Source organism: Homo sapiens, chromosome 1 (genome assembly GCF_000001405.40).
Source record: "Homo sapiens chromosome 1, GRCh38.p14 Primary Assembly".
Lineage (NCBI taxonomy): Eukaryota > Metazoa > Chordata > Mammalia > Primates > Hominidae > Homo > Homo sapiens.
In genome coordinates this window covers 33,687,984-33,701,431 of record NC_000001.11, presented here as the reverse complement: position 1 = coordinate 33,701,431, position 13,448 = coordinate 33,687,984, and the positions used below count along the sequence as shown (strand labels likewise).

General features: G+C 45.6%; 1 protein-coding gene across 12 annotated transcripts in view; it reads left to right on the top strand.

Annotated features, from left to right (window-relative positions):
* The window catches only part of CSMD2 (CUB and Sushi multiple domains 2), a 651,845-nt gene that overhangs the window by 464,411 nt on the left and 173,986 nt on the right, over positions 1–13,448 (top strand). For all 12 annotated transcript variants that reach the window (XM_047443685.1, XM_047443656.1, NM_052896.5 and 9 more), the window contains 3 exons: positions 759–915; positions 2,488–2,679; positions 8,376–8,502. In XM_047443685.1, coding sequence (XP_047299641.1) covers positions 759–915; positions 2,488–2,679; positions 8,376–8,502 — 476 coding nt within the window. The remainder of the gene's footprint in view (positions 1–758; positions 916–2,487; positions 2,680–8,375; positions 8,503–13,448) is intronic.

Genomic DNA, 13,448 nt, shown 5'->3' with positions numbered 1-13,448 from the left:
GGAAAGGAGCAGCAACCTTGAAACCTGGGGAGCCAGTTCATTATTCTGATGATTGTTGTCTTTGCTGGTACTAAGAAGTTCAGGGGACAGATGGGAGTGAGGGAAGCCAGATGCCTGTACGATTCCACCCTTGGCAAGCCCAGCAGGCCCTAGCTGGAGCCCTCATTTTAGGAGGGAAGGGGCAGAGGCTGAGCTTGGGGAAGAAAAAGTCACCATGACATGCTGGTGTCTGGATCCCAGGGATGATGTCCAGCAGAGTGCTCAAGACAGGCTACTGCCACAGTGGGGTGGGATCAGGTGAGAGGATGGCTGTCTCATCTACTGGAAGGACAGGATTGAGGGTTTAGCAATGTAGAGATGAATGCTTTCAGCCTGTCTCTCTGAAGAAACAGATGGTTTGACAAGCAGGCAACCCAAACCTGGCCTCCCCAGGCTGCTAAAGAGTAAGCTGGTGCTATATGGGCATTGCGGGAACAAGAACAAATCTCCACTGGAAAGATTAGAATAGCAATGAGTTCCCAAAGACTAGATTCACACTAAAGATGGGCTGAGCATAGAACTGACATCAAGGGAAAACGAGATAACTTGCTCAGTTGATAGCTTCCCTCTGCCATCTTCCTTGCATCTGATAACTCACTGTGCCTCTGATAGTTGTTACCAGTGCTAAACTCCAGGAGTGTGGGTTGTGGGGTAAGGAGGTGTTGTTCAACATAAGGCCATGCTGACGACATTGGGTTGGGGGTCTCTCCTGTGTCCAGGTTTATGATGGCAACAACAACTCCGCCCGTTTGCTGGGAGTTTTTAGCCATTCTGAGATGATGGGGGTGACTTTGAACAGCACATCCAGCAGTCTGTGGCTTGATTTCATCACTGATGCTGAAAACACCAGCAAGGGCTTTGAACTGCACTTTTCCAGTAAGTCTTTCTTGCATCTGTGTGGACAAGGAAGTCAGGGTTTCCCATTTTATTCATTTATTTGAGCTTCTGCTTGCTCACGAGATACAAAGAATGTGCTCTTAAGACTGTTTTAAAATCCAATATGTATCCATCAGTGGATGCATGGGTAAACAAAATGTGATATGTTCATACAATGGAATAGCATTTGTCCATAAAAAGGAGTGAAGTGGCCGGGCACAGTGGTTCATGCCTATAATCCCAGCACTTTGGGAGGCCAAGGCGGGTGGATCACGAGGTCAGGAGTTCAAGACCAGCCTGGCCAAGATGGTGAAACCCCATCTCTACTAAAACTACAAAAATTAGCTGGGCGTGGTGGCGGGTGCCTGTAATCCCAGCTACTTGGGAGGCTGAGGCAGGAGAATTGCTTGAACCCGGAAGGCAGAGGTTGCAGTGAGCCGAGATTGCGCCACTGCACTCTAGCCTGGGTGACAGAGCAAGACTGTCTAAAAAAAGAAAAAAAAAAATGGAGTAAAGTATACATGCTTTGACATGGATGACCCTTGAAAAGATTGCAGTAAGTGAAAGAATCCAGTCTCAAAGGCCACATATTGTTTGAGCTCCATCATATGAACTGTCCAGAACAGGCAAATCCATAGAGCCAGAAAGTAAAGGGCAGTTGCCTAGGGCTGAGGGAGTTGGGGGAAAAATGTGTATGGAACTTCTTTTTGAGGTGATAAAAATGTTCTAGAACTGATTATGGCAATAGCTGTACAACTCTGAATCTACTAAAAGACATTGGATTGTACACATTAGGTGGGAGAATGTATGGTATGTGAATTGTATCTCAATAAAGAAAGCTATTGGGGAAAATCATGCACGGAGTATAGTCAGGTTTCCCCTCGTCTGGGCTCAAGGCTGCCTGGCAGAGGATCCTTGCCTGTTACAGCAAGAGGTTCAGTGGAAGAGGATTAGAGACACCTTTGAATTCCACTTCTATCATGTGAAAATTGTGTAAGTTTGGAACAATTTATTTAACCTTCCCAAATCAATGCTCTCCGTTGTAAAATGCAGATAATTATACCCACCTGTAAGACTCCTGTGAATAACAAATGAGAGAGAACACATGTATAGCGCCGTAGAGTGGGAGCTCTGCATAAATCTGTTTCCTTTTCCAGCCCATTTCAACAGCGTATGTTTAAGCAGGTCATAACTCAGCTTTTAAACATACATTTAAAGTGACTTCTCCATATTACACCATCTTATCAGAATGTCTCAATAAGCAAAATGAAAAGAACGCTCCTGCTAGCAAAAATGCTACGGGGTCAAACAAAAGAAATAGAAAATGCAGACCTTAGGCCTGAAAACTATTAAAAGCAGAAATCATTTACATATAGCAACAGAGAAATGGATGTTCCTTAATATACCCTCAACTGAGCATAGAAATGAGGAAATCCTGACTGGTGAATCCATCAGAACCCAGGGTCCGTGGCTGAGACAGCTTCCTTGAGGACGTGGGCTTTGAGGGAAGAGAGGAAGCATGGTTTCTGCCACAATAGGTCTTACTCACTCTACCTCTTCTCTCCTCACCAGGCTTTGAACTCATCAAATGTGAGGACCCAGGAACCCCCAAGTTTGGCTACAAGGTTCATGATGAAGGTCATTTTGCAGGGAGCTCCGTGTCCTTCAGCTGTGACCCTGGATACAGCCTGCGGGGTAGTGAGGAGCTGCTGTGTCTGAGTGGAGAGCGCCGGACCTGGGACCGGCCTCTGCCCACCTGTGTCGGTAGGAGGGCTCTTCCTCTGCAGGGAACCCTTGGGTCTCCCATAATACCAAGCTCTAGTCCTGGTCTCATTCCAGTTAGACCCCATGCTCCAGGGCCTGGGGGCCATCAACTTGGACTGAATCCTCTTGTTAACAGGCATCATGGTTCACCTGCACCCCTTCTCCACTTCCTCACTTTCACACCTCATTACACCCATGCAGCAGTGCAGTCAGGCGGGTGGCTTGCCTTTGTCGCACATTTAGCAAGTGGGACCACAGCCAAGTCATGCCCTCAAAATTGTAACGCGGGTGATAGCGATGAGGTGGGAGAGTCCATTAGAAAGGGAGAGATGGGGCTTTTGCCTGAGTTCCAGGGCTTATCGTAACGCCAAGACTCAAATGAGTCTCCCACCCACTTTAGGTCTCAGTTTCCCTATAGGTAAAATGGGGCTCATTCTCCCTTTACTGGAGGAATGTCAAAAGACATAGTAAGATAAAGAACACCCATTGCTCTCACTGATAAAGAATGCAATAATGAACTTGCATCTTCTTAAACCTGTGATTCTTCCAGAATGTCATCAGAGGTTCTCTAGAATCTTTACACATGTGTCACAGGACAAGAGACAGTGATCTGAGGCAGAAGTGCAAAATAGGCAAAATTGGTTGTTCTGTTTGGCCTTTTCATCTCTTACCACCCATCTCCCTGCTAATGTGAGTTCCCCCATACTGCTTCGTCCTGCCTCCTACCTTTCCAAAACCAGATCTGTCTCTCTCTCCACCCCCTTCCCCATGTCCCACAACCTCAACGTGTCTGTGCCAGCACTGGCTAATCTTGTAAGAACAAAACCTCCACTGGAAAAACACATACATGCCTACCAAGCCCCACATGCCAAAATTGGTGCACATGTATGTCTGGGTATTTGTGGAGGCAGAGAAATAAATGAAGAATAAAACCTGTTCACTGCCCTTGTCAGGGCCCATACTCCAGCATGGAGAATAGACACATAAACAGATAAGTATAATGTAAGAGAAGCACTGTAAAAAGAGTTAAGTGCAAAATGTTGGGAGGATATGAGAATGTTTTGCATGGGAGGTGATATTTCAATTGAGACTTGGAAGAATGGATTAGAATTCACCAACAGGAGGGAGAGGAAGGGAGGTTGACATTCTAGACTGAGCACGTGCAAGGGTGAAAGTGTGAACCAGCATGGTGGGAAGTGTTAAAGGCCACAGATGCTTTTCCCCTAGACGACTACATTTTCACAGGATCTTTAACACTGTTATACAATGGAGGGTCTAAGTGGACCCTCTGCAAGTGGACAGACCGAAACAGTAGCCTTTATGGAACCTCTAGGGTCTTCCTCTCCCTTTGCCTTTGACCTGGTCTTCAGGCATATCTCCCCTTTCGCCCTCCATCTCTTTTTATATCTCCCCTCATTCATGTGCCAGGAACTATGCTAGGCACTAGGAATACAGAGAAGAGCAGATCTCAGGCCAGGAAGGGTGATGCTTGCATAAACACACAACCGTATAATGCCACAGACAAGCAAGCCAGAGCACACAAAATGAAAAGGAGGGATGATGACTCGTATTACAAGATAATTATTTGCTTTGCAGAAAAGATTCACTGTAAGATTACTTTGAATATCAAATATGCCAGTTGGACTGGACTTATTGGGTTCACTCAAGCAGTATAAGAGCATTTAAACTTAGACTTACACTAGAACCTTGGAGGCCTTCCCCATTGAGACTGCCTCTAGCCTGCTAGGGGATTGAGGCTGTGTATTTGAGATTATGTGCATATTTTTGTATATGTCATGTTGTGGTCGACTTCATCATGGTCTACCACAAATGACTGCTATAGCTTAAAACATCCAAATGTTTTATTCTTCGGTGAGTGGACTCTGCAGCCCAAACAAAGCAGCCAAGACTCAAGGGTGGGAAGAAGGGAGAAGACCAGAAAGAGTAGACTTACATGTTCTCAATGTTGTTGAATCTGCTACATGCTGGCCCACTCAGCCCCCTCCTGCCCACCTGCCAGGCCCCAGGTAAGGTATCTAGTTGTCCATGATGACATGTTCCCAGTGCTGCTGCCTCCAAATCCTCACTTCCCAGGAAGCAGGAGGTCCTTCTCTGTCTGGAATATGGAAGGAAGCTCTAACCAAGGACATGGATAATGCCCTCCCACCTTTCTAGCTACTTCCTCTATTTGTGGAACCAGTCAAGCCTCCTCCCCACAATTGTAGTCCATCCTCTCACCAGCACCCTACTCCCTGCCATGGGTCCATTCAGCCTGGCATCTTTCAATCAGGTTGGCACCTCCCACCCCAACAGCACCTTGGAGAGAAGAGTGAAGCTTGAGCAGAGGGTCTTGTAGAGGGCCTCTCCTGCAACCCTTCCTTAGTGGTCCTGTGTGAAACCAACGGGTCCATGAAATGTTTGATGTGTCCTTTATAGCAACAGGTAGGGGTCAGTCTTCCATCTGTGACCCTGATCCCTTCTTCTCCTATTTCTAGCATCTTGCCTAATCAACTATTCCTTTTCCTAAATAGCTCTGCAATGAACATCCTCCTCTTCATTTGTACTCATTCTCCCTTGATTCAGACGCTTATAGTAATTTGCATGGAAAGCAATAATCTGCTTCCATTCATTTGATTGTCCAGCCATCCATTAATTCAATAAACGTTAAGCATCTATAATGTGCCAAACAGTATACTAGGTACTTGATGTGCAGATATAAGACAAGGTCCCTGCTGCCAAGGAGCTCTTAGTCTTGTGGAGGAAATAGACATGATTTTAATAACATGTTACACATGCTATAGTAGAAATCTATTCACATTGTAATGCAGACACAAAGGAGGGCAGTGTCAGTTCTACCTGGGGAGGGGAGGTATGTCACAAAAGATGTCACAGCGAGGATGTTTATTCAGGTCCTCCATCCAAATAGAGCTTGTGGACTTCATCAGCCTAGACCAAAGAGTTCACGGAGGCCAAAGGGAGCCACTCTGGTGGGCTCAGTGGGCTCTACTGAAAAGTTTAGACTTCATTTGGGGAGTGAATGCAAGCAGTGACTTGTTTGCATTTGATAAAGATCCGTTGATGGCACTGCCTAGAGCGTGGGCAACTCTGCCAGCCTAGAGATTGTGAGGGCCTGAGTCAAGACTCCAGCAATGTGGGCAAAGTAGAGTCAAACATGAATAATACCACACAGGTTTAGCGACTGGGTCTCAGAGGCAGATTAGATGTCGGGGAGGAAGGAGGAGAACACCAGCAGGAACCCCCAGCTTCTGACTTCAGTGACTGCTCCAATGGGGAATGTAGACCTCTTCACCTGCCTCCCTGCCTCCAGTTTCACCCCTGCTGTACCCCATCATACTGCCACCACAGTGACTCCTCCTAACATGCAAAGTTCACTGATGTGTCATGCAGTCAATTAACTCACATGTATAATCACTGCAATTCTTTCCTGGAACAGTGAATATATGACAGCCTGGTATCCAAGGTCCTTCAACCTGTGATGCTTCCTCACCTTTCCAGTCCCATCTCCCCCATCTCCCTATCTCATACCCCAGCCTCCAGCCTGCCATGCTGTTCCTCACCTCCAGGAACTTTGCAGTTACTCTTCTGTCTCTCTCTGCAGTGCCCTCCTTCCCATCCTACCCTTGCCACCCAACCGACCTGGTCAACTCTTGCTTCTCCTTCAAGGTTCATTTAAGACCAGCACCCTCCCTGACCCTCGCTGTCCTTTGCTCAGGGAGATTGGTCACTTCTGCTGCTACTTGTTGTTAGGATACCTAGCACACAGTGTGGCTGTCTTCTCTACTAGACAGTAAACTCTTCCAGGGGAGGGCAGTATCCTGTTGATCTCTGCTGTCCTGGCAGCCAGCAGAGGTCCTGTTGCTATCAAGAAGCAGGTTGAAGTACTTGCATGTTCCTCCCTAGGAGGCTTTGAGGAGGTTGGTCACAGAACAGGCAATCAGCCCTACACTCAGGGACCATTTTTATTTACCAGTGTACAATTCAGTTGTTTGTAGTTATATTAGTCTGTTCTCACACTGCTGTAAAGATACTACCTGAGACTAGGTAATTTGTAAAGAAAAGAGGCTTAATTGACTCACAGTTCCTCATGGCTGGGGAAGCCTCAGGAAACATACAATCATGGCGGAAGGGGAAGCAGGCACCTTCTTTACAAGGCAGCAGGAGAGAGAAAAGTGAGAGAAGGAGGAACTTCATAAGTTCTGATGGAACTTATAAAACCATCAGATCTCGTGAGAGCTCACTCACTATCATGAGAACAGTATGGGGAAAACTGGCCCCATGATCCAGTCACCTCCCACCAGGTTCCTCCCTCAATATCTGGGGATTACAATTCAAGACGAAATTTGGGTAGGGACACAAAGCCTAACCATGTGAGTAGTATACTCACAGGCTTGTACAGCCATCACCACAATCTAATTTTTGAACATTTTGTCCCCCACAAGAGAAAACCCATGCCCATTAACAGCCACTCCCCGTTGTCCCCTTCCCCAGGCCCTGGCAACCACTAACGTACCTTCTGTCTCCAAGATTTGCCTATTCTAGGTATTTCACATAAGTGGAATCGCACAATGTGTCTGACTTCCTTCACTTAACTAATGTTTTCAGCGTTCATCTATATTGTAGCATGTAGCAAGCCTTGATTCCTTGTTGTTGTTGTTGTTGTTGTTATTGTTTTGAGATGGAGTTTCGCATTTGTTGCCCAGGCTGGAGTGCAATGGTGCGATCTCGGTTCACCACAACCTCCACCTCCTGGGTTCAAGTGATTCTCCTACCTCAGCCTCCTGAGTAGCTGGGATTACAGGCATGTACCACCACGCCTGGCTAATTTTTTGTATTTTTAGTAGAGATGGGGTTTCTCCATGTTGGTCAGGCTGATCTGAAACTCCCGACCGCAGGTAAGCCACCCACCTCAGCCCCACAAAATGCTGAGATTACAGGGATGAGCCACCATGCCCGGCCGCCTTGATTCCTTTTTATGGTTGAATACTATTCCATTGTATGGCTATGCCACATTTTGTTTATTCATTCATCAGTTGATAGACATTTGGGTTGTTTCCACTTTTTGATAACTATGAATAACGTTGCTATGAACATTCATGTTCAAGTTTTTATGTGAACATGTTTTCATTTATCTTGGGTATATGCCTAAGAGCAGAATTGCTAGGTCATATGGTGACTATGTTTAACATTTTGAGGAACCACCAACTTGTTTTTGAAAGCAGCTGCACCATTTTACATTTCCATCAATAATGATGAGAGTTCCAGTTTCTCCACTCCCCACCTACGCTTGTATAGTCTTTTTGACTATAGACATCCCAGTGGGTGTGAAGTGATATCTCATTGTGAGTTTGATTTGTATTTCCCTAATGACTAACAATGTTAAACATCTTTTCATGTATGTATTGGCTATTTATATATCCTCTTTGGAGAAATGTTTATTCGAATCCTTTGCCTTTTATAAATTGGGTTACTTGTCTTTTTATTGTTGATTTGTAGGGGTTCTTTATAGGTTCTGGATATAAGTCTCATCCAGAGACCTTTTAATATGCTGTGCTCAATCACTTGAAATGAATGGGAGAGGGAAGGGACTCAAGAGCAAACAGGCAAAAGGAGCCACTGAGTGACTGCTGGCAGCTCAGGCCACCCCATGAAGCTCACTCTTTTGGGATTTCTTTCAGCCGAGTGTGGAGGGACAGTGAGAGGAGAGGTGTCGGGGCAGGTGCTGTCACCCGGGTATCCAGCTCCCTATGAACACAATCTCAACTGCATCTGGACCATCGAAGCAGAGGCCGGCTGCACCATTGGGTAAGTGTCAGGGCTGACAAAGTAACTATCGCCAGTTGTTCAGGGGAGCCATCATCAGCATCATCACCAGGCCATCCAGCTAGTGCCTGGCCTGCCTGCCTCACCTGGAGAACCTTGTGATCAATAGTGGTTGCTATACTGGATGCCTTAGAAAATCTAGAAAGGTCAGTCTCAGCCTCTCAGGGCTTCATGCCAAGTCCATACACCTCACTGGCCCAGATAGCACAGTTACAGCAGAGTAGCCGAGGGCATGGATTGAAGGCATGCAGACCCCCATTTGAATCCAACCCTTCCATGTACTGTTTGCAGGACTTTGGGAAAGTTCCTTATCCTCTCTGCATCTCATTGTCCTCTTCTGTAGAGTGTGGATCTCAGGATAAAGCACTTGAATGAGATATTGCATGTAATATGCTCAGTATAGTATTTGGAACATAGTGAAATATTTAATAACAGTTGCTGTGGTTATTTCTGACAGTTAGCAAGCACTAACTCAGCTTTAGCTGTATGGCCCCTGGCAGATTGCTTCCCTTTTTTAGGCTGTTTCCTCATCTTTAAAATGAGGACAGAAATGCTTGTATTTTAGAGTTGTGGAGGAAGTAAATAGCAAAAGACCAGCAGTGGTATGTACTTCTTCAAAAGATAAATTCCTTCAAAATAGGTATGCCATCAAAATGTAACTTCCTTCCAGGCATTCCTTATTGGAATTTCAAGGAGTCAGAGGAGAAAGAACCATCACCATTTACTGAACACAGAGCCTACCTTATTAACTCCCTGCAATAGCCCTATTGATAATAATAGTAAGCCCTAATAACAAATAGGCATTATTGTAATTCCCATTTTATAGATGAGAAAACTCAGATTCCAAGAGGATGCATAGCATTTCTAAGTTTGCACAGGGAATCAAAACTCTGAGATCCGAACCCAGGTCTTTCTGAATCTTCACACTATTGCACTGCTGGCAAAACGGGGCCTTGAGCCATGGCTCAGGTGAGTTAGGAGGAAAAGAGCAGGTTGGGGTAGCAGTATGAGCGGAGGTATGAAAGGAGGATAGAACAAGGGAATTGGGGGGGAAACAGTCTGGCTGGAGTAGGGGAAACACATGGGTAAGGAATGGGAGATAGATAGGGGTAAAGTATAGCCTGGTTATGGACCATCTTAAATGCCAGTAACTAAGAGGGAGCCATGGAAGGTTCTTGAGCAGCGTCGGTCCACCAGGGTTATTTGCAGTGTAGAGAGCTCATGGGGAGACACCATCAGGAGTCTGTTACAATGATCCAGGAAGTAAGTGCTAAGGATTTGGAATAGTGAGGAGCCAAGAAAAGGAATAGAAGTATAGCTAGGAGAAGATTCCTGCATGTAAGAGTTTCCAATTAAGAAGAACTGGCTGAATGGGTGTTTTGCTGCAAGAAATATAGATATTCACTTATGTACACAGTTCAATTAATGTTAAGGAAATGTATTAAGTATTTAATATGTACAAATTTTTTAGCTAAACTCTGAGGAAAATAAGGTCAGCAGTGTACATAGGGACTTTGCATTGTTAGGGAACAAGTTAAATATGCACATTCATCCTGCACGGCACTGCTGGGATAACCTTCTGAAAGCATACCTGATCAATTCACCCTCTGATCAGAAACCGGATTCCATGGCCACCCCACGCTCACAGAATAAAAGCTAAACATTTTATTCTGGCCTTTGAGGCTACAGCGACTTCAGCCTCCCTCCCCAACCTTATTTTCCACTTCTCTTCAATGACATTCCGGCAAAGCAAAATTATTGGTGACCCCTGTACATGGCCTAGCTCAGGGCCTAGCTCAGGGCCTTTGTTTCTACTCTGCCCTTCCTCTGGAACGCCCTCCTCCCTCCAAAGGCTTACATCTAAAATTATCCATCCCTCAAAGTCAAGTGCAAATGTCAGCTCACCCGGGAGGTCATCCCTCACCCCCTCTCTTGCGGGGCTCCTAGGAGTCCTTTCTGCCTCTTTTGAACTTCCATTACCTGTTGCATATATTTTCCTGATGACACTGACCACTTTTCTCCTTTATTTATGCTCATGCCTTACCTCCCCTCCTGGAGCTGTGGTCTCTGCCTGATTCATCTTTGCAAGTCTCCCAGCTCTTAGCACAGTGCCCCCGGCTCAACAAGTGTCAAGTGTTTGATGAATGAAAGAATGAATGAAGCAAGACCCAAGTATAAAGGTAGTTATATGCCTAGTGGATCTATGATAGTTCCTCGGTGACTAGTGGTTGAACAATGAGTGGATCGAGAACATAATGACTATTTCACTTTAGTATACACATGTGCAAATCAAGAGGTTTTCCCACTTTCTTCACTTGGAGCATCATTCATTGATGCATTCATTCCCTCATATTCACAAATATCTGTTTGTTTACTACCTGGTTGTGCCTGTGCCAGATGCTGGCATTATATAAATGAATGAGATGTGGCCATGGTTCACAAAGAGCAGACGCACATGTCTGTCCAGAACAAGGTGGTGGCACAATGAGGAAGGGGAATGAAAAAGCAGGACAGGAGGAGATGGGAGAAGTTATTCTGGAAAAGGTGACCCTAGAGCTGAGTCCTGAAGGAAGGAGAGGAGGTTGCCAGGTAGCCAAGGAGGAAGGTGGGTGGGAGGGTAATGGGCCTCTAGGCAGAGTGAAGCAGTGTGGTCAGCCTCAAGGAGCTGGAAATGGTTCCCGCAGCTGGATGATCACCTGCGATTTGGTGGGTGGCGGCATTCATGGGAGATGAAGCTGGTGGTGGAGGCTGTGGGGAGCACAGAGGGCGTTGGGGCTATGAGGCTGCGTTTTGACAGCTCCTGGCAGTTTGGAGGAGAATGGGCGGAGTGGGACGGGCTGGGCCGGTAAGCGCAGTGAGGAAGCTGCCTCCAGAGTGTGGCTGGGGACGAGGAGGCCAGAAGTCAGGCAGTGGCAGTGGAGATGGAGAAGAAGAGAAAATTCAGGGGACATTCAAGTGATCACACCAACTTTTCTCAACTACTGTTTGTGACAACAATACACCAAGTACCCGCGTACCTACCGCCTACACCCAAATGGCGTTACTATTTTGCCATATATGCTTATGTGCTTTCTTTGTTCTTCTCTTTCCATCCTTTTGTTTTCCTTTTTGCTGAGCTGCTGGAAAGTACACTGTCAACATCATGATACTTCATTTCTAGATGCTTTGGCACACATCGTCTAAAGAGAAGGATGTGTTCATCCATGGCATAGCGGCCGTAATGTACCTAAAAGGCACAGCATTAATTCTCTGGGAATTAAGGAGAGCAGAGCAGATCTAGGTGTGGCTGGCACAAGGAAATTACAATAAACTGATGAATGGATTTCTGGGCAGTAGTGAGGACCATTTTCACTGATGAGAATGGTGGCTATGGGGGTGGAGGGGAGACAGGAGGCGCCTTTCTAGCCCTCAGGAAGACAAGATCAAAACCAATACAGGAAACGTCCTCTCCAGAGTAACATAGCAAGAAATATGAAGTCATGGGGGGCATGCTGAGGATCCCAAAATGGGAAGAAGAAAGTAAAGGTCCAAAGAAGGTAAAGATAACATCAGTCCTTAGTCTGGATGGCTTCTTGGAGCCACAGCAACCTCAAAGGAGCTAATGTGAAGTAAGAAGATGTCTTCCCAGTTTCACTGAGAGCTGCAGAAAGATGGAGATAGAGTGGCAAGACACTGTCCCTTCCTCATTCTCCCACCCCAGTCTGCCATCCCAGCCAGTATGCATAGCATGCACACGTACAGCTGTATTTATGTGTGCTCACTCCGTCCTCCCCCTTTCTCTCCCCTTCCCTTCTTCTTTCCCACTCCCTCTCTCCCTCTCCTCCTCTCCTTCCCTCCTTCTTTCCCACTCCCTCTCTTCCTCTCCTTCCCTCCCTCTCTCTCTTTTTCTCCTCTCCCTCCGCCTCAACCCCCAACACACACACACACCTGTCTTGAATAACCAGCAGCAAAGTTAGGATAACTCACACTCATAATTAGACAAACACAAAAAGCCCCTTTGTGTTTGAGTCCTTATTTAGTTATTATCTTTTTTATTAGAAATATCTTTATAGAATTTTTCTATATACAAATTAGGTACTCTTTTTTTTGGAGGAGGGTTGGACAGTCTTGTTCTATTGCCCAGACTGGAATACAGTGGCACTGTCTCAGCTCACTGCAACCCCTACCTTCCAGGTTCAAGCAGTTCTCATGCCTCAGCCTCCCAAGTAGCTGGGATTACAGGCAAGCGCCATCACGCCTGGCTAATTTTTGTAGAGACAGGGTTTCACCATGTTAGCCAGGCTGGTCTCGAACTCCTGGCCTCAAGTGATTCTCCTGCCTCAGCCTCCCAAAGTGCTGGGATTACAGGTGTGAGCCACTGTGCCCAGCCAGATAATCATTTTTTTAAAATTCAAAATTTAAACAAATTTATAAACTCGAAATGAAACGTTTCCACAATCTTACTCTGTAATCTTACTCCTCCTCACACCCCACATAAAATAACTATTAATGTCTGTCTGCTCTACTTATTCTTTTGGATATTTTGTGTGCCAATATGTACATAAAGCAAATGTAATGCACATGTTTCTAAACCAAGTTCATCCACATGCATGGCTTAGTAGCTTGTTTTCTGTTTTACCTCTTAATCATATGTCACCATCTCATCATGTCAATGTCTATAGACCTACCTCATCCTGTTTGATGGGTACAGAGAATTCTATTGTATGTACCACCATAATTTATTTAACTATTCCCCTGTTGAATAAGTGAATCTTTTCAGCTTTTCACTCCAACATTCTTATTCCTGAATCTTCGAACAGTTGTCCATTTATTTCCTTAGGATATATTTTTAGGAGGTAAATTTTGATACATGACCTCAAATTTTCTTCTAGATATTATAGCAATTTACAAGTCTACCAGAAGTCTATGGGAAGGCCTGCTACCCCACG